Source organism: Homo sapiens, chromosome 10 (genome assembly GCF_000001405.40).
Source record: "Homo sapiens chromosome 10, GRCh38.p14 Primary Assembly".
NCBI classification, from domain to species: domain Eukaryota; kingdom Metazoa; phylum Chordata; class Mammalia; order Primates; family Hominidae; genus Homo; species Homo sapiens.
The window spans coordinates 110707611-110734169 of record NC_000010.11 but is presented as its reverse complement, the minus strand read 5'-3'; the positions used below and the strand labels follow the sequence as shown (position 1 = coordinate 110734169).

General features: G+C 44.6%; 1 protein-coding gene across 2 annotated transcripts in view, besides 1 other annotated feature; it reads right to left on the bottom strand.

Moving 5' to 3' along the window:
* RBM20 (RNA binding motif protein 20) overlaps positions 1–26559 on the bottom strand; it is a 196224-nt gene that overhangs the window by 105299 nt on the left and 64366 nt on the right. The gene's annotated exons all lie outside the window — the stretch shown is intronic.
* Positions 24415–24966: an enhancer, noted in NCBI's record as "H3K27ac-H3K4me1 hESC enhancer chr10:112468962-112469513 (GRCh37/hg19 assembly coordinates)". NCBI's record gives its function as "activates a minimal SCP1, AML or CMV promoter by ChIP-STARR-seq in naive H9 embryonic stem cells {active_cell/tissue: H9 hESC(naive)}" and the evidence as "EXISTENCE:reporter gene assay evidence [ECO:0000049][PMID:30033119]".

The window sequence follows — 26559 nt, the reverse complement described above, 5'->3', positions numbered from 1 at the left end:
TAATCAAGAAGATATGTTGGAATTACAATGCTTCTTTCAAGCTCTTGCCCAAAGACAAATAATTCAAGACAGAATGTCGACCTTCAGTGAATGATGATAATTATCTCCTCATCCAATGGAAGGGAGGGGTTGATTTGATTTTTACAAAAAAAAGAGAAGAAATGCATCTAATGGATGTGGCTAACAGACATTCGCAGGTATAATGAAAAGATAAGAAAAAGACAGGCATGATTAAACATCACACCCACACAAGCTGGTTAGCTGAAGTCACGTGTCAGCATCTCTGAGGCTGTTCTTTTGAGAAGCACCCCAGAAGGGCAAACCGAATTGCTGGGGATAAAACATGTCCATTACCTTGCTTTAGAGGCGATTATCTTTAGAGCGAGAGTGAAAGTAGCTGAGCGAGCAGTTCCTGGGCATTCTGCAAAGTCACAGGCATCAGGATCTCCAAGGCAGCCAGAAAGCGCCGAGCCACGCCAGTGTGGGAAATTTGTGGCCAGAGCGAAGCCAATATTTCTCCAGCTAAACAAAAATGCCAGGCAAGATCCCCAGGGATTATGAAAGAGAATGCACCCCTGATTAACCATGACCTCAATCAGGGTACAGAACCCCAAGGAGCTAGCCCTGCATGGGCAATTCTATTCATAGTAACCACAAATCACTGCATGCCTCCTCTGTGTACCCAGAGATCATTTATCCAGAGGCAGTGTCGTCCTCCAAAAGACACCCGTTTGGGTAGGTATTTGGAAGCCACATCGTCAATCCTCCCAGCCATACACCCGGCTCTATACCGTGTGGTTTCACCTCATCCTCCTTCTCAACATTACACATCCCCCGCCAGGGGTGAGGGCAGGGAAGGGGTCACTGATTCTGCACTAGAAGAAATATCAGGGTTGGGGACGGGGATGAACTGAATTGAGACACCATGAACCAGCTCTGGAGCAAGAAGGGCAGAAAGAGATCCCAAGAACAACTTCAAGTAAGTAGTAAAGAAACTCCATTTTCTGAAAGGGCATTGTTTGTCGCTGGCTGTACGGATCCTTTCAGAGCCTTACAAGCTTCCCTTCTGCAATACGGTGGTGACGGTGCTGAGACAGAGACAGAAAGGGAAGGAAGAATCTTGACAGAATTAGGATGTCCAGCAGGGATCCTGGTACTTATAAGAATTGATTCCATATGGAAAATAGAAGAACAAAAGGAGATTTTCCGAGCCTGGTGAGTAGCCCTGATGATATTGGTCACTGAGATTGGTCATTCTTGTTTCCAGGTTCTGCAGCCTGGGAAGGTTTCCTAGGGTTTCCTGGGGTCTGTTATGGGGAACCAGGAGGGATGCTGATGGTTCCAGAGGTCAACACAGTCAATGATTTCCAGTGAGGTCTTCAAAACTTCTAGACTCAGGAGACCAAGTTCTCACCCTTGACATGATTTCAGTCTTCTCAGGGCAGGAGAAAGAGCCAGGCTCCCTGAAGAGTTTTTGCTCTGGAACCCAACGATGGGGTGCGTGTGAACGGCAAGGGCAGAATTTATGTGGCGGTGACTCACACTTAACCCAGAAGGCCCCTGGACCCCAGAAAGGCAAAACCGGAGTTTGAGAAATAAAAGAAATTTAGGGAATGATTTCAGAACCTAAGAATGAACCCTAACTGCTGGAGACAGAGCAGTGAATTGAATTTGCCCTTGGAAACCTGGTTTTGCCTTTGTCAGAAGTCAGGATTGGTGGGCAATTGAAATCATCTGAAGGAGAAAGGAAACATTTCCCCTAAATCCTTAAAAGGAATCTGAGAGGAAGCTGGAGAAGGGATGCCCATTTTCATAAAAAATAATTCTCATAGGAAAGAGCATGGAGGAACTGAGAAATAACCATGACTGACAGCGCGTCAGAGAAAGAAAATCAATACCAACCTCTCCATAGAAATAGCAGGGGCGAGGGGACAGGGGAATAGAAAAAAGTGGAGATGACCATGAAACAGATAAACCAACGAGAACTGCAACATGGGAATATTGAAGGATGCTATGTATAAGAAATACTCTCGAGAAAAGGCAAAAAGCAGGGGAGGGAAAAATGTCACTATCAGAAGTATGGTTATTAAGATAAAAAGTGGCATTGTTTGAGATGCACAGTCCTTTTAGAAAAACATAGGTGAGAAGATTGAGGAGACAAGAAAGAGCTCTAGAGGTGCTGAAGGTGCACATGGAGAAGATGGACCTGAAGGTCCATGAATGTGAGATTCAGAGGCATCTAATGCCAAATGCAAGGGTAAGGATTTTAAAAGACCAGCTTTATACCTCGAATCTTACTACAACAGTAAACTTAACACAAAAAAGGACATTTTGCAAATTAAGCTGAAGAGAACACTCTCAGCATACAACTAAGGAAAATGCCTGAAGAAGCCTAAACTCTGAAGTGGACAAAAAAATGCAGCTTTTGCCTTTAGGAGCCATTCTAACATAAGAATGTCTATTTTCATTAGCACACTCTCAGAAAATTCTAAGGTGAATTAGCCTAGATAACAAGAGGGAGAAATGATAATTTCTACAAATTACAGTATAAAAGGCTTCTGAAAAATTATTTTTTAAAGATGGCAGCACACGTAGAAAATGACAGAATTGTAACTAAGGCAGATTTATGAGTTCAGCTAAAAGGGGTGGATTCCTGAGTTTTTCAGAAAGAAATGGGATATGGCAAAGGGAATTTGTGACCCAGGGTACAGGTGTAAGAACCTATGGATAGAACATTACTGAACTTGTGGAAATCCAAAACACAATTTTAGCTTCTCTCTTCATTGAGTCCATTCTTTTATTGTTTACCAAGGAACCAAATGAATTGCCATCTTCCTTGTTTCATTCTCTCAAGGAAAGGAATAAAGCAGGGAAATTAGCAGCTTCTTCGCTTCCTTGTTTTTTGTTTGAATTTGTGGGCAGACATGGAGGAGGTGAGAGGAAATAAGAAAGGAGGGAGGAATCTGGTGATTTCCCAACGTGGATAACAACCAGCCCCCAAATATCGAGAAGTGGCCTCATGCAGAGTACCTAGAGAAAAGACTGCCTTTCATACCGAGAAAAAATAAAACAAAACAGTTTCATACCTCAAACTCACTATGGCCAGTGAATGAACCACTGGAAATACTTATCAGAAGGAGTTCTAGACAAAGCATATAAGTTACACAATGGTTAAAGAGCTCTAGCCCACTGGTTTCTAATGGGGCCAGTACGAAGCGATTGGTGCTGTGTGCACGCTCTAAGCAGGATGGGGGGCGGCTTGACACTTCAAGTAGGAGGGTGGGGAGGTAGAAAGAAACCAGGAAGGATGCCTCCCTCCTCCTTCTTCCTGATTCCCTGCCTGCCGGCCTCTCCCACATGACTTTGCTCTTGCAGTTATTTAATTGGGAAACACAAAGGAAGGAGGGGCTGGGCATGAGGTCTCAGAGCTTCTTGTCCTCATTCAGGACTCCAAGAGAGATTGGAAAGGGAGCACTCAATCCCACCGCAATGAACTTTGGAGAGGAGGACATGCTGGCATGGTCTGAGGGCTGACCATGGGCTGGGCATTCTGCCCATTTTACAGATGAAGTTCCTAGCAACTTAAAGCTTGTTCAAGGCCACAATGTCAATAGCACAGCCAGGACGAGAACCCCACCCTGTCTGACTCCAAAGTCTGCACAATGCTGCCTCCTTCTTCTAGGCTAGAGGAGTCCTCGGGACTGAAGCCGTGTTCATTTCTGCTGGAGGACCTGTGAAAGGGGGAGGGGCATTCTGGAGCTGGACACCCAAGAAAGGAGGTCGGGGGATCTCCAAGCCAGGATTAATGAGGTTAAAATCAGGCGCATTCAATTTGCATGTTCTTAAACCTTTGCCATAGAAACTTTGCCTTGGCATTGCTATGTTAATGCACAGTCAGGAGAACAGAAGTCCGAGGAAACCATCTTGAATGTGTTCTAAGCAACCAATTAGCTGCTGTCATTTATCCAGGGGTCTGCTTCTCCCAGGAAGCATGCAGAGCTAACAAGGCAGATGAGCACCTGGTGCTTGGGACTAGTCTTAAAAAAGAGAAGGGCCAAGCACGGTGGCTCACACCTGTAATCCCAGCACTGTGGGAGGTCAAGGCGGGTGGATCACCTGAGGTTGGGAGTTTGAGACCAGCCTAACCAACATGGAGAAACCCCATCTCTATTAAAAATACAAAAAAATTAGCCGGGCATGGTGGCGCATGCCTGTAATCCCAGCTACTCAGGAGGCTGAGGCAGGCGAATCACTTGAACCTGGGAGGCGTAGGTCGCAGTGAGCCGAGGTTGCACTCCAGCCTGGGCAACAACAAGAGTGAGACTCCGTCTCAAAAAATAAATAAATAAAAGGGGGAAGAAATGACATTAATGTTCCTGACAGAGGGGGTCAGGAGAGGGCCTCTCAAGCATTCCAACATCGCATCTAGGGCGGAGGTGGATGCGGTTCCCCTCAGGCCTGTCTGCGCTACAGCCAGGGTACAAGGGCCAGTGTTCTCTACAGTGATGACGGACGGCTGGGAATCACCCCTGGAGCCTCTAACTGATCACACCTGACTTTTAGGTTTGAGCTGCAAGTGGCAGCAGCTGCCAAATCTGGGAGATACGATCTCAGCTTCTGCCCTCCTGCGGCTCATAGCCTAGAAGAAGAGATAGATATTAATCAAACTGTCAAATAATTGTGAAACTGTGGGTTGATCAATGCATCAAAGGAAAGGGTAAATAAGAGGGTGTGAACCTCACCTGGAGTTGGAAAGTTGTTGGGATTTGAAAAAAGTGCAAGGTTTACTAGGTGAGAAGGAGAGGCAGGAAGGGCAGAAAAGAGAAGCCCAGGCACCAGGACCTGAAGGAAGAGACAACCCCTCGCAGGAGAGAGCTTTGGGAACAACACATATTATTTTATTGACTATTTAAATAATTACCTGGTAGTTACGTGAAAAGGATTATTGAGGTTAAAATTGGGAGCGTTTAAGTGGCATGTTCTTAAATCTTGTGCCATAAATTGCCTTCTCTGTATTCAAGATACTTTCTCATTCTGAATTTCTTATACACCTAGCAGAACGCTTGAAGAAATTATTGCTGTCATGGTTGCAGCAACAGTAACCAATATTCTGTCTCGGCGAACAGTATTAAAAGCCTATACTTTACATGCTTCAGTTCACATGATTCTGACAACAACCCTATGGGCAGGGGAGCAGTGAAGAAATTCTGCCCAAGATCACACAGCCTGGGTGTGACAGGGACCAGATCTGAACCCAGGCCCAACTAGTTCAAGGCTGTGTGCATAAACAGAGCAGCATCGCTCAGCGGGTCAGCAGAGGAGGTGGAAAGATACCCAGGGACAGCCTGCTGTCAGTCCTGAGACCTGGCGACTCAGCAAGCTTCCTATGACATCACCTGCCTCACCTGTAAAATTGGAATAATGACACCTGCCCACCCACCTCCTTGGGTTGTTGTGAGGCTTAATACAAGCACACGTGAGCCTGACAGGTTGAGAGCACCACACAAAAGAGAAGCATTATGATTGGGCAAAAACACACCCTGATAATAACTTCAAGTAGGCACAATGAATGACACCCTCCCAAGACCACAGACATAATTACAGAGAAAGGAGAAAGAGAGAAAATTGAAGTCACTCCCCCTCACCTTGACCCTGAGGCATAAAAATGAGCACTAACAGCAATTTACCAAAGTCTACCAAAGTCTACCTGTCTAGTAAAGAATCAACCTTATCCAAAAAAAAAGTGTGGCTTTTTCCCTTTCCTGGACTCTGAGAGGTAACCTCTAAACCCTTAGATTGTACTGCCTGAGAAGAGTGGGGACCTTGGGCTACCCAGATAGTCTAATAACGTGATTTATGGCAGGGGCCCTGGGCCATGCAGCATCAACTCAATCTCCAGAGAGGCTGGAGACCTAGGCCAGCCACACAGCTGTCAGCTACATGAGTGAGCCCCAGTAAAAACTAGGCTCAAGAAATAGCATTTGACCCAGCAATTCCATTACTGGGTATATACCTAAAGGATTATAAATCATTTTACTATAAAGACACATGCACACGTATGTTTATTACAGCACTATTTACAATAGCAAAGACTTGGAACCAACCCAAATGCCCATCAATGATAGACTGGATCAATAAAATGTTGCACATATATACCGTGAAATACTATGCAGCCATAAAAAAGAATGAGTTCATGTCCTTTGCAGAGACATGGATGAAGCTGGAAACCATCATCCTCAGCAAACTAACACAGGAACAGAAAACCAAACACCACATGTTCTCACTCATAAGTGGGAGTTAAACAATGAGAACACATGAACACAGGGAGGGGAACACCACACACTGGGGCCTGTTGAGGGATGGGGGACAAGGGGAGGGAAAGCATTAGGACAAATACCTAAGGCATGCAGGGCTTAAAACCTAGATGATGGGCTAATGAGTGCAGCAAACCACCATAGCACATGTATACCTATGTAACAAACCTGCACGTTCAGCACATGTATCCCAGAACCTAAAGTAAAATTAAAAAAAGAAAAATATACAAAATTAACTGATAAGCCTCTTATAAATAAGAGCCAAGAGGGAAGTGATTTGGTCTTCTTTATATCAAAACATTGCATATGAGTAAACAACCAGACAACTAAAACAGAATAGAAAGTTTAAAAGTCAACCCAACTACATACAAAATTTAAAATATAATTGAGATAGTGTCTCACATCTGTGAGAACAGGATGGACTTTTTATTTATTTTTTTTTTATTTTTATTTTTTGAGACGGACTTTTTAATAAATAGTATTGTGACAACTGGAGAGTCATTTGGAAAAAGATACAATTGCAGCCCACACCTGACACCAAACACCAGAATAAACCGTGCGTGAATCAGAAACCCAAAAACTGAAAAAATGAATTATGTACACATATTGAAATACCATGCTGTATCCCAGAAACACATACATTATGTGTCAACTAAAGATAAAAGGGGGAATTTCTTAATAGTAAAAAAAAAAAAAAAAAAAAAAAAAAAAAGGCTGGGTGCAGTGACTCACGCCTGTAATCCTAACACTTTGGGAGGCCAAGGCAGATCACTTGAGGTCAGGAGTTTGAGACCAGCCTGGCCAACATGACGAAACCCTGTCTCTGCTAAAAACACAAAAAATCAGCCGGGCAGTGTGGTGGGCACCTGTGATACCAGCTACTCCGGAGGCTGAGGCAGGAGAATTGCTTGAACCCATGAGCCGGAGGTTGCAGTGAGCCAAGGTTGCACCATTGCACTCCAGCCTGGGCGATAAGAGCAAAACTCCATCTCAAAAATAAAACAAAACAAAAATACAGGCTCAGGTGAGATTCCCTGTGGGCCCCTGCCCTCAGCTTATTTTAATTTGTATCTTTTTCCTGCAATAAACCATAACTTTGATTATAACCACTTTCAGTAAGTGCTGTAGGACTTTCTAACACCTGAATGTGGTCTTGGAGACCCTTGAACCTGCAACTGGCATCAGAAGTGGAAGTGGTTTTGAGGACCCCAAACTTTGTAGTTTTTCTACAATGTCATTTAATCCTCAAAAACCAAAGAAGCGGGTGTTAGTCCCACCTCACAGACAAAGACACTGAGTAGCTTAGAGGGCCATCACTTGATCATGATCCCATATCCAGTGGGTAGAGGAACTGGGGTTAATCACCAAGCTATGCACCAGTGAAACTCTCATTGGGTGCAGAGTAATACTGCCTCCATCTGCTACCCTGAGAGTGACAGGCAAGTGAATAGAGGGCCTCACTCATTGCTGATGCTTGGAACAGTAACCCATGCCATGAGAGGATAGGGGAGACCTTAGAAAGTGCTCTAGTACGGAGAAAATATGATGCTGTAGAGATGCTGGGTGGTATCATGACCTTACCATCTCCAACTCTGAGACAGGCCACCTAGGACAGAGACACCCACAGCAGCCCTGAAACCCAAACCTGAGCCCTTTCGTGGTCAGAGCCAAACCAGTCATCAGGAGCAGGAGGCTGGTCAGCAGTGATGCAATGCCTCCTGGGACAGAACATTCCACTGAGAGGGAGAGGCCGGCAGAGGGGCTGCGTCAGGGGAGCAAGGAGGCAGGTGCCCAGAGAGAGGGAGAGGTAAAGCAGGAGTGGGCAGATGGGGCAGTCAGCAGCACATCTGCCCCCAAGATGGGGATGGGGTCCATCTGCTCAGCACCACTGCCTGCCAGGATGGGGTCGGGGGAGGGGGGCAGGAAGGAGGCTGCACACGCAGCAGATTCCACCCCCAGCACAGAGGCCAAGCTGTGGCTGTCAATCCTGCCTCCCGTCTCAGAGAACTGGCGTGACCAATGCTCTCAGCTTCCTATACACACGCCACCCCAGCTATATGCCATACAATTGGTTTTACAAGAGCAACAGATTTAACGCTGCCTCCCCGCAATAGCTTTGTGAGCTCTGCAGCCCCTGAAATACACAACCAAGCAAGATGTCACACCTAAAATCCAGGTTGATGTGCTCTGTTTCTGTATTTTTTTAAAGCCTGCACCTCTGCAATTGTTTTCCATTTTATGTTATACATGTACACAAAACAGAAGACAAATCTGGCCAATCAGATTGTCTTGCTTTTGCTTTATCCTTAAAGTTCATCAATCTAAATAATACCTAGTTATAAGGGATATTTAGCAAATAATTGTTTAGGAGAAAGATTTTTAACATAGAAGTAACTGAGAAACATAGGATTCCTAATAATAGTAATGTGAATTTATCTGGGACTTTTAAAACATCCTTCAGGGAACAAGCACCGAAACAGGCGTTATTGACCTACAGGTCCCCCACAAGGGTCCATGGATGGGTTTCAGGATGTTCATAAAAACCATGAAATTGAAACTGTTTGCAAAGTCATATAAGCGCACGCTCCAGAGTAATTTTTCTGAGGTGAAAGTCCAAAGCTTTCATCAGCCTTTGAAAGGGATCTCTGATTCCAAAATGTTAGCACCACTAGTACACTCAACTCTGGCACATTCTTGGTCTCATTTACTCCCGAGTCATTCTTGTGAATTACACAGGGTGAGAATGATTAACCTGCTGTGTAGATGGGAAAGAGCTATGATCATCCAAGTTCATGGAGTGGTGTCACTTGCTTAATAGAGCTCAGTGACAGTGTTTATCACAGTCCACTTTGCAGTAACTTGGCAATCCACACGTTTCTCTACCCAAAACTTTAAACTCCTTGAGGACTGGGACTCCTCCTCGAAGACCTGACACATGGTAGGCATGCAGTCAGAGCCCAAGCAGTCAAGTTCCTGAGGGGGATGCAGGCAGACCAGGATCAAGGTTTCCAGGCACTGCCTCAAGAAACCTGGTACACTTACAGTAGGTGCCGGATAAAGCATCTCCTGTGATAATGGTGATCCTGCCTTCCTTGCCTACTGTTCTCATTCCCCAGATGATTCATCCCCAGATGAAGTGAAAACATCTGCTTTGGCTTCAGAGAAAGAATGTCCCCTCCCTGAGTCTTGTGCCAGACCTCCACCAGGGCAACGATATGGCCCAGCACGCCCATGGCTGCAGGGATATTACTGGGCCTGTCAAGGTGACTCTTTGTGGGGAGAAGCCAGGGAGTCAATGCTTCTCCCCACTCACAGTGCTAACGTGATTCAAGTCAATGGTTCCTGCTCTGTCTCCAGAAACAGAACTGAGAAAATCTTGACGAAGCACTCTCAGGAAATAGCAGGTAAGAGGTGAGGCCCCAGGAAACATCTTCAGACTTCCTCTCTCAACAAAGAAGTCACAATTTTGCTGAAAGGCTACTTCAGTTCTGCAGCTCCCAGCTTGGAGCAATTTCAACCTGAGCAGCCTGCAACCTGTTGGAGCAGATGTTTTACAGGTAGTCTGGTGTGGTGTATTCTGAAGCATCACTAGCTTGAAGGTCCAGCATCACAGCATCAGTTTTGTTTTGTTTGGTCATTTGTTTTACCACTGCCACAGAGACAAACGGGTTCTGCACACACACTGGCAGACGGGATTTGTTTGTCTCTTTTGATGGCTAAGTATTGACTTCAGAATACAAGCCCTGAAGTCAATAGACCTGACTTGGACCCTGGCTTGGTCTCTTACCCGGTAACTTTTGGCTAGTAATGTAACCTTTCTGAGCCTCAGTTTCTGCAGAGTTGTTTAGAATAGTAGAGTGTTTAGAATACAGTGTCTGTCATCTACTAACAAATGAATACTATTATTATTTAGACATGGAAGAAAAGATAAGCCTATAATTGAAGTAAAACTCAAGCCCAACACTTAAGGAATTTCATATGAACTGAAAATCACAATAATTCTGCCTTCCCTGTGCACTGCCACAGAGGAAGGGCCGTGCTCATCTGTACAACAGGGTTAAAAAACCTCAACAATAAAGACCCATAACCCAATTAAAAATAGGCAAAGGATTTGAATAGATGTGTCTCCAGAGAAGACATGCAAATGGCCATTAAGCACATGAGAAGATGTTCAACATTGTTAGTCACTAAGGAAATGCAAATCAAAACCACAATGAGTTTCCCCTTCATATCCACTAGAATGGCTGAAATCAAAAAGATGATAATAAGTGCTGCAAGAATGTGGAAAAATTGGAATCCTCATTCATTGTTAGTGGCATTGGTGTAAAATGGTGTAGCCACGTTGGAAAACAGTTTGGATGCTCCTCAAAATGTTACATCTGAAGTTACCATATGACCCAGCAATTCCACTCCTACATTATCCCATTTATATGAAATGTCCAGATGAGGCAAATCCACACAGACAGGAAATAGTTTAGTGGTTGCCAGAGGATGAGGGAAGGGGAAAGGGAAGGGATGGGGAGTGACTGCTAATGGGTACGCAGTTTCTTTTGGGGGTATAAAAATATTCTGGAATTAGTGGTGATGAATTACAGCTCTGTGAATATATAACCGTTTACTTGTATATTTTTAAATGGTGAATTTCATGATATGTGACTTACATCTCATCAAAGCTGTTATTAACAAAACAGTACCCACCTCCTACCTTATAGGGTTGCTGGGATGATTTTTTTTTTTTTTTTTTTAGATGGAGTCTCGCTCTGGCGCCCAGGCTGGAGTGCAGTGAGGTGATCTCGGCTCACTGCAACCTCTGCCTCCTGGGTTCAAGCAATTCTCCTGCCTCAGCCTCCCAAGTAGCTGGGATTACAGGTGCATGCCACAACGCCCGGCTAATTTATATATTTTTAGTAGAGACAGAGTTTTGCCTTTTTGGCCAGGCTAATCTCAAACTCCTGACCCCAAGTGATCTGCCTGCCTCAGCCTCTCAAAGTGCTGGGATTACAGGTTTAAGCCACCATGCTCAGCCCACTGGGAGAATCATATGAAGTCCCCAGTATATGTCCTAGCCCTAGAGCTCCTTTGTCAATGGTATCAGAGATGTAATTAGTATCATCACTCTATCCTCCAAGGTTACCTGGGGCACAAATAGAAGCATACAAACAAGCTGATAACAGTGACTAATTCTGGGGCAAGATCTGAGTTTGAGAGTGGTGGAAAAAAGAGACTTTAGCTTTATGTGTAATGTTTTAATATTTTAAAGGAGCATGCATTCATCTATTATTTGTGTAATTAAATTTTAATTTTCACTAGGGCAGTGAAACTACTCTGTAGGATATTATAATGGTAGATACATGTCATTACACATTTGTTCGAACCCACAGAATACACAACACCAAGGATGCTCCCCACTGTAAACTACGGACTCTGAGTGATCACAATGCTTCATGCAGGTTCATCAACTGTAATAACTGTACCACTCTGCTGGGGGATGCTGATAATGGGGGAGGTTGTGCATGTGTGAGGGAGGGGGTGGATGGGAAATCTCTGTACCTTCCTCTCAATTTTGTTGTGAACTTAAAACTTCTCTAAAAAATAAAGTCTATTTAAAAATTAATTTAAAAATGCCTGCTGTTGTTCTTGAAATACATCTTCCCATTAATCATTTCAAATCATCTTGCCTGACAACCATAATTAAACACTGACAGCAACCAAGAGTCAGGAAGTTTCCATAGAGGAAACAGTGCATCAAAAGAAATCATGATTTCTAAGACAATTAACTTAATTGCTCTAAACTACATCATCCCCTCCAAAAAATTAATCAAAGGCAGAGAAAAGGCAGGGGCAGAGACAAGGAGAAGGAGCAGGTGCCTAAGGAGGGAGCCCTCCCCTCTCCAACTGGGAGAGGAGATAAATCTCTGCCCCTGACACCCCAGTATGCCTTGTTCTAATACCCAAAGTCTTGGATGCATCCCCCCAGAGACTGCCTGCTCTGCATGCACATGCTCCGGGCTGTAGGTGAGGTGAGGAGGAAGGTTCTGCAATAAATGGCCTTGATCTGCTTATCACACCTATTTATAGGCCTTCATTTTATAGCTTGGTGAAATGAGAAGGTGCAGAGAGATCCAAGTACCCAGCTACATTAAGATGTTCCATGAGAAATAGGGAGACACTTTCACAAGCAGAACCACAGTCGGAAGCCACAGGTTGTTTTTGAAGATGACACCAATTAGGGAGGCTGCAGAAGAGCGTGCTGATTTGCCCTGTGGTCATGTGAAAAGGCACGGTCAGTGCAGTGATGATTTACTGCTGGGAGGACGATGCCTGGACAGACCCAAACATGGACAGACATGCGCACACTCACCAGTCCCGTCCCTCCATGGCAGAACTTACCAAGGCCCATGGGAAACGGCATTCACAAGAGCAAATGTTCACACTGCCCACTCCGAGGCCCACTGGAGGGAAGGTAGCCAAGGTTCTAAAAGCAGGCTGGGCCCTCATTAGAAAGAGTCCAGGTTCGACATTTTCATATTCATTTAACAAACAGGTGAGGGGCTGCCATATGGCAGGCATTGCTCTAGGGATGGAGATTGACTCAGCAGGGAACAAGAAAAAGTCTCTCTCCTCATGGAAATGACATTCCAGTAGAGGACAAGTAAATGTATAATGTGTCAGGCAATGCTTAGTGCTGAGGAAGACTGAGGAAGGAAAGGGGGACAGAGAGTGAAAAGGGATTACGGGGTGCTTGAGATAGGGCCAGGGAAGGCCTCTCCATGTGGCGGCAACTGAGCAGGTGCCTGCAGGAAATAAGGAAGCCAGTCCTGTAGAATCCAGAAGGAGAGGGTTCCAGGCAGCAGGGAGCGAAGGTCATACCTGAGGAAGAGCAAGGTAGCCAGTGAGAGAAATGTCAGGGAGAGCACGGGAAATGAAGTGAGAGGAAACGAAGGTGAAGGCCATGGAGGGCCTGCCAGGCCATAGTGGGACCTCTGGCTTTTATTCTGATAATGTGGGAAGGGTCTGGAGGGTTTTGAGTAGAGGAGGGAAATGACTGGATGTGCATTTTCAACGGTCACTCCAGCTGCTGTGGGAGAGCAGGCTGTAGGGGCAGGGTGGGATGGGCACCACAGGGATGAGGGTTAGGAGAGCAGGCTGCAGGGGCAGGGTGGGATGGACACTGCAAGGATGAGGGTTAGGAGATCAGGCTGCAGGGGCAGGGTGGGACAGGCACTGCAGGGATCCAAGTGGGAGGCCATGTGGCCTGGCCCAGGTGGTAGCAGAGGAGGGGTGGAGAAGTGATTCTGACTGTGTCTTAAGGTAGAGCTGAGAGGATCTGCTGATGGACTGGATGTGGGGAGAAAAGAAAGATGAGAGTCCAGGATGATGCCAAGACTTCTGGCCCATGGCTATGTTCCAGTCCCGCGGTTGCACTGCAAAATGTGGACTAGAAAGTAGATAGAAGAATGTCACTTTCCAGGAGAGCAAAGGTGGTGTGAGGGCCTGAGCACTCCCAGGAAGCAGCTAGTCCCCTGCTGGTGGCCGGGTGGACACAGGATTCCCAGACATTGTGCCAACCTCCTTGGCATCAAAGAAACAGCCCTGAGGACTCCACTAGGAATGAAGCAAGCTTGTCAGTGCAGTGACTGGAAAGGTGGGAGGGTGGACTGAACATTGGAGTTCTCCCAAAACCCATATGTTGGCATCTCACCTGCATTGTGATGGTATCAGGAGTTGAGGGCTTTAGGAGGTGATTAGGTCACTAGGACAGAGCCCTCATAACTGGGATTAGTGCCCTTATAAAAAAGATCACCGCCAGGGCGCTCCTTCACCCCTCTTGCCATAGGAGGGTACAGCAAGAAGGCGTCTCCAAGAACCAGGAAGCTGTCCCTCACCAGACATCAAATTTGCTGGTGCCTTGATCTTGGATGCCCCAGCCTCCAGAGCCGTTAAAAATAAATGTTTATTTAAGCTACCCAATAAGACAGCCCAAACAGAATAAGACAGAGGTGGGAGAAGGAGGAGGAATGCTTTACACACATTATCTCATTGAATCCTTAAGAGGCACATATTACAATCCTTGTTTACAGATGAAGAAACTAAGACAAAGATGACAATACTGGATGAAATCTCTAACTTTAATAAAAAATACACATAGGAGAAACTCTTTGTAATCTGGGATGGGAAAGGTCTTCCCAAGAAAGACACAAAACTCAGAAGCCATAAAGAAAAAGATGAACAGGTTCAAAGTCATAAAAATTGAAAATGTTGGCCTGATTAAAGAAAAACAAAAACAAAACCTAAAACTATACATACATATACCCGCGAGACAAAAACAAAAACAAAATAAAACCCATTTATAAACAAAACCAAAAGCAATATTTACAACATCAATAGCATGGCAGTGAGACCTGTTAGGAATTAGGAATTTGTCAAGTCAATAAGAAGGACACACAATCACATGTTTAGAAAGTGAAATCAATGAGTATCAATTAATGGAAGGGGAAATGCAAGAGACCAAGACCTCTGTGAAGGGTGCCCACTCTGCCAGTGTTCAGAGGAATGAACAGCAACAACAATCTCATGTGTTTTCATTTTCAAGACTAGGAAAACTGAAACAGGCTCACCTTCGGTGTTGGTGAGGATGTGGGAAAACAAATATTTCCTGCTCTGCAGGTGGGAGTCTGAATCCGAAAAGCCTTTTTGGAACACCATTTGGCAGAATCTACCAAAATGTGTCACATACATGCTCTGCAACTCAGCCATTCTATTAGAAGACTCTACCTACAGATATGTCTCCAAATGTATGTAGGAAAACAAACACAAACTTTCCCTCTACAGAAAAAGACAGGACAATAATAACTCAATGTCCATCAACAGCGTATTATTTAAGCAGATTAACTATGCTATCAAATCTGTGAAGTCTTTAATAAAAAAGAAGTAGAATTAGGCTGGGTATGGTGGCTTATGCCTGTAATCCCAACACTTTGGGAGGCCGAGATGGGTGGATAACTTGAAGTCAGGAGGTCAAGACCAGCCTGGCCAACATGGTGAAACCCTGTCTCTACTAAAAAAAAATTCAAAAATTAGCCGGGCATTGTGGCGGGTGCCTGTAATCCCAGCTACTTGGGAAGCTGAGGCAGAAGAATAGCTTGAACCTCGGAGGCGGATGTTGTAGTGAGTAGAGATCACACCACTACATTCCAGCCTGGGCAACAGAGTGAGACTAAAAAAAAAAAAAAGAAAAAAAAAAAAAGAATGGAGTAGAATTATATGTATTAACATCAAAGATCTCAAAAAAAAAAAACTAAAAAAGTTATAGAAGAATACATGTAATAACCTACAGTATATGCTAAAAAATAAAACAAACTATCTATGCATGTATACAAACATACAGATAGAAATACCAGAAAAAGGGCTAGAAGTTTATACCCCAAACAGCTGTCAGTGGTGACACATGTTTTGCAAGGGAGAGTCCAGTTGGGCAGAGGTGGGGAAGCATGGAGCCCTCCTCTGAGTACTTGGTCTTCTAAGGAAAAACTAAGATGCCTGAATGTCTGTAATTATGAATTTATATATTGCTTATAAAATGTAATGTGTTTTAAAAACTAGAGGATGATAAAGGTATTTGTATTCAAACTCTTTTAAGTGCATGTGACAGAAACCCAACCCAAAGTTGCTGAAACAAAAAGGGGAAGTGCTGGCTTCTGTCCTTGGGAAGTCAGGGGTGGTGCTGACTCCAGGCCCACTGCATGCAAGGGTGGAAGCCATGTGGCCAAGCCTCTGTCCCCCGCCCTAGCTCTCAGGCTGCTTGTCTGTTTTTCTTCATTCTCAAAGGATATTGCCACATGTCAAACAGAACAGATGCCCGAAGCCCCAGACTCACATTCTTTCTAGGCAGCCCATGTGCAAAAGGGATTGTTTCTCTCCATGCACTAGTCCCAGGAGAAATGCTAACTGGGGTTGCTTGAGAATGAGGCTCCTCCCTCGCACAGTGAGTGGGGCCAGTGCAATGGAGCGCTTTGGGTCACCTGCCCACTCCAGTGAGTGAGGAAGATCCCTTTGTGATTCCATGACTGATAGCCACAGTAGGACCATGTGAGGTGGATGAGGAATTCCCCTCAAGGAATCAAAACCAGAGGAAGAGGGATGGGAAACTGTGGCAGGCAGATGGAGCAACAGATGCCAGGATCCACTACAGAACACAAGTGAACAAGATCTGAACTGAGACCCAATGTCGCACAACCAGTCAACGGCAGGGGTGGGATTCAAATCAGGTGGGAGACACTTCAAAGCCCACACTCTCTCCACCTCACACTCAGTTCATTCCAGATGGCCAGGGGACATTGATGTCATCTCTACAGTAAGCTCTGCAGAACTGAAGGGGGTTCTTGGGGGCCTGTCACCCAGGAACTCCAGTAAACCCATCACATTCCATAAGTTTCCCTGAAGATTATCACCCTTGGAACAAAATGGGATTTGCACAGATGGAATTTTTCTGGAGAGGAGGGAGGAGGAGGGGGAGGAGGGCAGTAGAATATTTATGAGATTTGAAGGTCCCAACAGTACTTCTAAAGAATAGGAAAGAATGAGGGTGTAGTGAATTAAATATGAAGGCTGTCACTGCAGACCACCTTCACCAGCCTCATCATTTATTAAACACCTTATTTTGCATTGCAAAAGGAGCTTGGAGAGAGAGTGAAGCAGGCAGCACACAGTTCTGTCCTCAGAAGCCTGCAGTTGAGGATTGCCACACTAGTGCTGGGGCCTGTCACAAGAAACACGGACAAGACAAATGTGATATCAAACATTTCTTTATGCAAAAACCAAACAAACAATGAAAAAAACTCAATCAACCGATGTTTAAAACACAATTACAGGAAGGATAACAAGCACAGTTGTAAATTCAAATTTTCCATGTTTTAAATCTTTTTTTTTTTTCTTTTTTTTTTTGAGACGGAGTTGTGTCACTGAGGCGGGAGTGCAGGGGCACGATCTCGGCTCACTGCAAGCTCCACCTCCCAGGTTCCCGCCATTCTTCTGCCTCAGCCTCTCAAGTAGCTGGGACTACAGGCGCCCACCACCACACCTGGCTAATTTTTTTTTTGTATTTTTAGTAGAGACAGGGTTTCACCTTGTTAGCCAGGATGATCTTGATCTCCTGACCTCAGGATCTGCCCACCTCGGTCTCCCAAAGTGCTGGGATTACAGGCATCAGCCACCACGCCCAGCCATAATTCTTTTACTCTATACTCCAGTCATTTATTCCCCATGAATATGCATACTGAAATACCCACTGTCTTCTGAACTCTGATCATTGTTTCTTGTACACTGACTCCAAGTTAGGACATAATAACTTGCAATATTAGATCACCCAGATCACCCCAATCCCAAATCCTACTCTTTCAATGGCAATTGCATGAATAAAGGTAAACAGTACACGTTTAATTAGGCCAGATGTTACATAATTGAGACCTGGTCAATGGGCCTCCATATAGGCCTACAGAGCAGGAGAAGCCAGGTGCCCTGAGGCTCTGGGGTGAGGGTGGTATGCAGTTGCAGGAGTTGTTCTATGGCAGGAAATGAGGCTAAGCCTTGCCCTGGAGGGAGACATCTGGGGCCTTCTAAGGGGACTGCTTCTGCCCCTAATTACGCACCTACCATTCTACCTCCTCATTACTAGGAAAGAGAAAAGACCAAGACCTTCACACAGAGGATGCCTAAATTATTGATTAGTCTTTTCCAAACTGGAAAATTGGCAATACATACTTGACTTTTCATCACTTACATTATCCCCTTTTTACAAATGAAGAATGTGATACTTCCTGAGACAACTTTGCTGCAAGTGAGTGAGGGAACCAAGAACATAATCAAAAGCTTGTGGAGAGACTTCTAGTGCTCATGCTCATCTAGTTCTTTTCTTCTGGGCACACAGGGGGATTACGCTTTCTGCCTCCCTTGTAGTTAAGTGGGGACCATGTGATTAGTTATGGCCAATGGGCTGTGAGTAGACGTGATGCTATCTCCAGGCTGGGGTGAGACCCTTCAGTACTGTAATTGTAATTGCAATGTAATTGCAGGGGTGAGACCCTTCAGTACTCTCTCTTCCCCATCTCAGTGATCAAGGCCACATGTTCCAGTTAGCTCAGCTATAAGATGGTGGAACCCCAGTCATCCTGAGTCCCTGAGGAATCATATGGAGCAGCCCCTCAATATTCACCCAACCAAATCATGTAGGATTTGTGAATGAGTGAGAAATAAAATTTTTGTTGTATTAAACCTCTGGGGTTTTGTGGCTACAGCATAAACCTAACCTATCAGGACTTAACAAAAAAGACTTTAGTCTAGTGGAGGGCTAAGATATGTACATAAGTACAATGCAGCAAAGGAAAACTGACATTTGATGGCCTGAGCCATCTACAGTACTCAACCAACATCTGATGAAGGAGTACATGCATGGCTGATATGAAAGTGCTGCAGACAGTGTGATGACACAAGATGGAAACATTCACTTCCACTTGGGAGTTAGTCAGTAAAGAGTGATGGAGTATAGAAGTACGAATATTCACAAATTATGGGTTTTTTCTTTGTTTGTTTTGTTTGTTTGTTTTTGTTTTTGGACAGAGTCTCACTGTGTCGCACAGGCTGGAGTGCAGTGGTGCGATCTTGACTCACTGCAGCCTCTGCCTCCCTGGTTCAAGCGATTCTCCCAATTCAGCCTCCCAAGTAGCTGGGATTACAGGAGTCTGCCATCATGCCCAGCTAATTTTTGTATTTTTAGTAGAGTTGGGGTTTCACCATGTTGACCAGGATGGTCTCGAACTCCTGACCTCACGTGATCTGCCTGCCTCGACCTCCCAAAGTGCTGGGATTACAGGCTTGAACCAATGCTCCCAGGCAATAAATTACATTTTAAAAACCTTTTGGATTACAGATATTATTTTCATCAACATCATTTGGGAAGGCAATCCTTTTTCCCTGGGCCACCCCTCCAACAAGTGACTTGAAGACCAGGAGACAATTCAAGCCAGCTGGAGCCTCCACCCTGAGCTGCTGGGTCTCCAACCAGGTCAACTACTAGGGAAGGATTCTTCTTGGAAGATGGACCATGTTGCCCCTTCTCAACAATTCTAAGGGGCTGAGGACAACCAGGAAGGACTGCCTCACCTGGTACTCTATCTGCTGCTCCTACTGGTGACTCCTGTTGGGCATGGGCCACCCACAGCTCCCAGAGGCTGTTCCTGCTCTCTTGGGGCAGCAGCTCCTCCTGACAGCTGACAGCAGCTGCTCTCATCAGCAGGTCTCTCAGCAAGTTCTAGAAGCAGAAGTTGCTGCTGTCAAGTAATGGGATCTTCTAGGAGTACCTTGGGTTGGAAGCTCTTGGGTCCTCATTGTCTGGCCCTTCTAGCAGTTCCTAGGAGCCTAGATGGTCAGGTGGTCAGCTCAGTATGACTACAACCACTGCAGAGCACAGCTTCAGACAGGCCAGTGCTAAGCCAGCTTTATTTGTTGCAGCAATGGTACTAGAGACATCTGCCAAACAATACTCCTTTACACAACCTTTTCATTGACCTCCAAGAACTGCAGATATGGTTACATTTCTAGCTACCCAGCATGGGCAAGACCCAGGTTCATGAGGCTCTTGAGTCAGGGAACACTCTTTTCTTTCTTAAGAGGGTCTCCTACCATTCCCTAATCCCAACTATGCCAAGGCTCAAGTGTCTACTCAGGAGGCTTAGCATGTCCCAAAGTCCTCTTCCCATAGCCCATCTTCAGAATCAGGAGCACTGCCATGACTGTAACTCCAGGCACAGATCTGCTTAGCCAGGTCCTCACAGGAGATGGGTAAGCTTCATTCTAATAACATTCCTGGGTGATGATCCTTTGGGCCATGTATCTTCTAGGGATTAATACATCTGAATATTATCAGTCTTCACAATGAAGTATTTCTTACTGTTCCCAACTAGCCCAAAAACGTAGTCCTTAGTAGGCTGGAAAACGCACTGGCACAGGGATAAGGAGCCCGGGATTGTGGTTCCAGACTTGCCACTTACTAGCTGGGAAACCTGAAAAAAATAATCCCCTCTCTAAGCTTCCATTTCTTTATCCATAAATTGAGGTCAGATGTGCTCTACCTACTTTAGGGAATGGTTGCGAGGCTGACATTAAATTGATGAATGTGAGTCTCTTTCAAAACACTGTACAAATGCTGAGTAGAATTTGTCCATTTATTCTTTAATTTGCCAGTAATGCATATATTTAGATAATAAAAAATTCCTCAGCAATGCCCTAAAAACCCAGTTGCAGTACTGAATTATTAAATGACTACTCTGCCCCTGTAGCGTGCAAAGTGTCATAAGGGACACAGGAGATTTAGGGCCTCATCTTTGTTCCCTAGTGATTTATCCTAGTCAGGGTTATAATCGTATTGCACCTAAAATGAGAGTGGAGAGGACTCAGGATATCACTCAAGCCATGTTCCTTACTTAACAGCAAGGAAACTGAGGCCAGGAAAGATTATCTAATAACCAGCAACAGTTATAATACTAGCTAAGCCTAGTGCACGTTACTCTGTGTAGCAGACTTGTTTAGGACCACACAGCAGATCTGTGGCCACGCCAGACCTGGAATCCTAGTGATGGCTCTTTGGCCAGGTTTCTTTCCATATATTTTCCATAAAAATCCACTTCTCTGCATCTGCCCCGTTAGTCAAGCCTGTATGTATGTCAATGACTTATCTTCTGTGATTCTCACACTAAAAGCCCTAAAGAGCAGGGAGAATAGAGCAAGCACTGAGGGAGTGGACAGAACAAAAGAAGCATCACAAGAGGTATTCTGGGGGAAACTGAGGCAGTCAAAGAGGAAGGAAAAGACACTTTACAAATATGGACGCCAAAGTTAGGGGTGACCCAGGATGACGGCAACCATTTTAAGATACTCTACAGAGGGTGTAATAGATGTGTTGGGGAATCACAGAAAAGAGCAAAAACAGTTTATGCCAAACAGATTATATAGTGGAGTCCAGGTGATTAAGTACACACTCATGACATAACTGAAAGGTAATTATTGGGGTCTCTAGATCAGTTTTTTGGGGGCAGGGCACAGAATCTTGTTCTGACACCCAGGCTGGAGTGCAGTGGTGCGATCTCAGCTCACTGCAATCTCTGCTTCCCAGGTTCAAGCGATTCTCCTGCCTCAGCCTCCCGAGTAGCTGGGATTAAAGGCAGGCACTGCCACGCCCTGCTAATTTTTGTATTTTTGGTAGAGATGGGGTTTCACCATTTTGGCCAGGCTGGTCTCAAACTCCTGACCTCAAGTGATCCACCCGCCTTGGCCTCCCAAAATGCTGGGATTACAGGGGTGAGCCACCGCACCCAGCCTCTAGATCAGTTTTTATTGGCCTCAATCAATAAAGATTGAAATATTCTAGCCAACCTCCTCATGTCATGCTCAGACTATGGCAGTAGCTATTAAATTGCAGTAGCTTTTAATTTTAAAAGAATCATCTCTGTTCACAATGATTACTACTGATACCACCACTATTATTGCTACTGCTATACACAACCACACAATCAAACATACACAATATCTTAGGGATGACAAAAATGAGGGCCAGAGCTGGCATATGACTTACCTGAAAACCATACATGAACTCACAATTAACTAACTGTAACTGAGCACCTTGTTTGGTCTGATGCATCATTTCCTACTGAAGAATGACACAAAATAATATAAAACATGATCTTAATTAAAATATATGATAATTCAATTGGAGAAAAAAGAAAATAAAATGCTACTTCCATACTTGGATCTTATCACTTCTTACTATTACTGATTCTAATAAGAAATTACCATTACTAATGTGAATAAGCTTCCTGAATCTGAAACAATGCTAGCACTTTCCCACTGTAGATCAACAACACATTACCTTACAATATTAAATGAGTAACAACAATAAACAGAGGTGAGGGACAGAGAAAAAAAAAGGATACAATCCCTGTGTAGGAATTCAGAATCCTAGTGGGTAGGAAGAGAGCACATTTGCAAAACCCTGAAGTCCTGTTTTCCTAGTACCTAGCATTGTACGCAGATGATACTAAGCATTGTGGGATAAATGCATGAATAAATCAATAATTCTTCTGGATCAGACTGATAGATAAAGGAGGCTGGCTTATGCGGCAGTCTCAGTTCACAGAGTACAAACATAGAATGCCTTCGTTTTTTACATAACTACCCCATCTGGGCAATGTCAACCCCTTCTCTGACTTTCCCCATTAGTGGGGACTTCCTTAAAGTCATCCGTTGACTTTTCAGTCACTTGCAATTATCCAGTCTCATTTAGATTTCTAAGACTCAGCTCAGTTCATTTCAAAACTTCAGTCTCATAGCTGATTCCACATTCTTTTTGTCCCCTCCTCCCAGCCAGGCAAGAGCTATTGCAGTGGTGGTAGCTTGGGGTAAAGGTGGCAGTGGCCTGTCCTTCCCACACCTCCCCTCTCCTGGACTCTTTTTTTTTTTTTTTTTTTTTTTTTTTTGAGATGGAGTCTCACTCTGTCTCCCAGGCTGGAGTGAAGTGGCACAGTCTCAGCTCACTGCAGCCTCCGCCTCCCAGGTTCAAGCAATTCTCCTATCTCAGCCTCCCGAGCAGCTGGGATTACAGGTGCCCACCACCACGCCCAGCTAATTTTTGTATTTTTAGTAGAGACGGGATTTCACCATGTTAGCCAGGCTGGTTTTCCTGGCCTCTTTCCTGCACCACTGGATAGGGGTGGCCACAATCGCCCGGCTGGAGTCTAATCACACACGCACCCCACAAGTCCTCCATGGTCTTGGGCTGGGGGACAGTAACAAGAGCCTCCTCCCAAACCACTCCTCTAGATGACCCTGGAGAAATCCGGATTCCCTTCTAGGGGTGTGTCTCATGACAACCTCCACATGTAGGAGCCTTCTGGTTCCCCAAGCAAAAGCAGTCCCAGCCAACTGTGGCCTTCACGTCACCTGCCCGGCTCCACAAGTCCAGAGCCTGGGACTCACATGAAGCCTGTCTTTGGGATAAGGGTTCCTGACCTCACTTCTCCTTCTCCTGTGCCAGGAGCCCAGGGCAGGCAGCTGTTCCTGATGACGCACGTGTCTAGCTGGAAAACTGGATGCCAGGGTGCCCTATCTGCACAGAAAACTTTGGAAAAAGGAAGCCCCATCATTTGCCCCCAAAGGGGAAGGGGGAGGGAAGGACCAGCTTCTCTCCAAGAAAACTGCATTCTCCAAACTGTGAGCTCCTTCTCCCGCCTCAGTCCTTCCTACTGGGGCTGGGAGTTTAACTGGGAGGCAGAGAACTGAAGATGGAAAAGTGGCTCTCTGAGGAGGCCCAGTGGGGCAGCCCCAATATTCAGTTGTTCTCCAACCTGAGAACCGGAGGCACCATGAGATGGGGCTGGCAGCAGGGCCTACCTCCTGGCTGTTGAGAGGATTAAATAGCAATCACATGGGAAGTGCTCAGGCAAGTGCGAGCACACAGTATATGCTACAGAAGTGTCTGATTATTGTCATCATAATTTGCAGTCTTGGCTACATTTCCAGATTATTGCGGAATATCCAGTTCAGCATGACCACCAGCTTGTTGCGCGAAAACCCACCTCAAATACAAAGGAAACTGCCCAATATGATCATAGTCCAACTATTGGTATCTGTTTTCACTCGTCAGCACTAAAGGGACCTTGGACACTAAGGATCAAATAGCATGATAAAAAAAAGTTGATCGAATTCAGTGGTACTGCTTTTTAGACATGAACTCTTTCTTCATATGAAATACTAGGTGAAAGCCTAAAACAGAACGCTGATGTGAGCAAAGCTGGTCTGGAGGACGTGTAGGAGGGCACATGTCTTGGAGTCCCTGGGGCTCCAAGGGACAAAGGTTTTAAAAAAACAAACATTCTGTTCATCTCTAATGGGTTCTGACTTTTTTAGTTGAACTTTATGATTTTTGAAATCATAATTGAGGCTGGGCACCACTGCTCATGCCTGTAATCCCAACTTTGGGAGGCCAAGGTGGGAGAATTGCTTGAGTCCAGGAGTTTGAGACCCGCCTGGCAACAAAATGAGACCCCCCATCTCTACAAAATTAAAAAAACAAAATAGCCAGGCATGGTGGCACACGCCTGTAGTCTCAGCTACTCAGAAGGCTGAGAAGGGAGGATCACCTGAGCTCAGGAGTTCAAGGCTGCAGTGAGCTACGATCATAACACTGCACTCCAGCCTGGGCAACAAAGCAAGATCCCATCCCAATTAAAAAAAAAAAAAAAAAAGAAATTATCACTGATCTTTAAAATCATGTTTAAGATGTGCCAGGGCCTTTAGTGAAAACATTTCTGCCTACAGACAGAAAAGTAAGAGATGGTCCCTCCTCCCAGGGTCAGGGCAGACACTCCCTCTAACAGACAGGCAGCAATGCTGGCCAGTGTGGGCTGCTCCCAGAATGGCCTGCTGTCTGCTCCAGTGTTCCCAGCATGCCTGCGGGGTTGCCCTCTCCTAGGCAAGCGTCCAGCATCAAAATGCCAGGGTCATCCCCTGGGTCTTTGACTCCCGATCCCAGCATTTAAATCCTGGCCATTTCACAAGCAGCAGGAGGGCATTAGCCATGCCACATTGTACAGCGGGGCTGAGATGTCAACAAGGGTTTAGAATCCAAAGCTGTTTGTCTCACATTGAACCTGACCCTGCATCAGGATAGCTCTGTCCTGGTTCAAAGGCAACATGCAGCTTTGGCTCACAGCAACACGTCTGACCTGCTATTGAGGGATGAGGTGAGGAGAACATTTAAAAAGAAAAAGAAATGAGAAACAAAGACACACTACAATTGATAGCCAAGGACTCAAAATAAAATAAAATTGCATCACTGCCTCGTGAAATTGGACGCCAGGCCCAGATTATTCCTAAGTTTACAAACCCCACTGGACGTTTCTGCCACAGTCCTGCCACCCCAGCCACACTCTCAATCATTCCAAGCCATTTCTTGAACTTCACTAAATTTTCTGTGGTTGCCCTCAGGAATAGGAACCCCAGGATCCTCAATGCCCCAACACCACCTTCCAGAATGGGAAACAATGAACAGACTTTCAAAAAATTCTTTATTGTTTCTTGTTTCCCCTGAAATACAAAAATAATTCCGCCTTGTTGTAAAAACTTGAACTCAGAGCTATAAAACTTAGAAAGTGAAAATCATTTGAAATCCCAGCTTTCAGCAATAGCCACTATTAATACTTTATTAATAATTTGAGAAATAAGGTTTTATTTCACCTGTTTTTATCTAGCAAAAATATATAGAACCTACGTATTTTACCAGAAACTAGTAAATAAGTGGGATTTAGCTTTATACTGTATGAAACAAGATAAAAATGTTTAAAAACACCACTTATCTAATACTTAGCCCTTTGAAAATAGTTGAAAAAAATTATCTACATGAAAGTTCATCACGCTGGTCCTCACAAATTCACATACAGAAAAAAACAATCTGATAAACGTTAGTTAAGATTAGGATTAAAATTCAAAAGTCCAAAGCTAGTTTGAGCTGAATTATTGGGTAGCTGATATATAGGACCAGCTCATAATTTGCAGGGCACACTGCAAAATGAAAATGTGGGGCCCTTGTTCAGAAATTAGTAAGAATTTCAAAATGGTGATTACCAGAGCATCACGCCCAAGCACAGAGCCCCTTTAAGCATGGGGCCCTATGTGACAGCACAGATCACCTGCCAGTGAAGCTAGCCCTGCCAATGCTCATTCATCCAACCTTTTTATAACCGAGTGTTTACTTCATATGTTTTCTTTAATTTTTTATTGTTATAGGTACATAATAGGTGTACCTCTTTGTGGAGTACATGTGGTGTCTTGACACAGAGGTACAACATATAATAATCATATCAGGTAACTCATGCATTTGTCATTTATTTGTGTTAGGAACATTACAATTCCACTCTTCTGGTTATTTTTAAATGTACAATAAGTTATTGTTGACTATCGTCATCCCGCGGCACTATCCAATACTGGGTCTTATTCATTCTATCTTACTATATTTTGTACCCATTAACCATCCCCACTTTCTACCCTCTCTTCCCAGCCTCTGGTAACCATCATTTTACTCTCTATGAGTTCAGTTGTTTTAATTTTTAGCTCCCACATATGAGTGAAAACATGCAAAATTTGTCTTTCTGTGCCTACCTTATTTCACTTAACACAAATAATGTCTTCCAGTTTCATT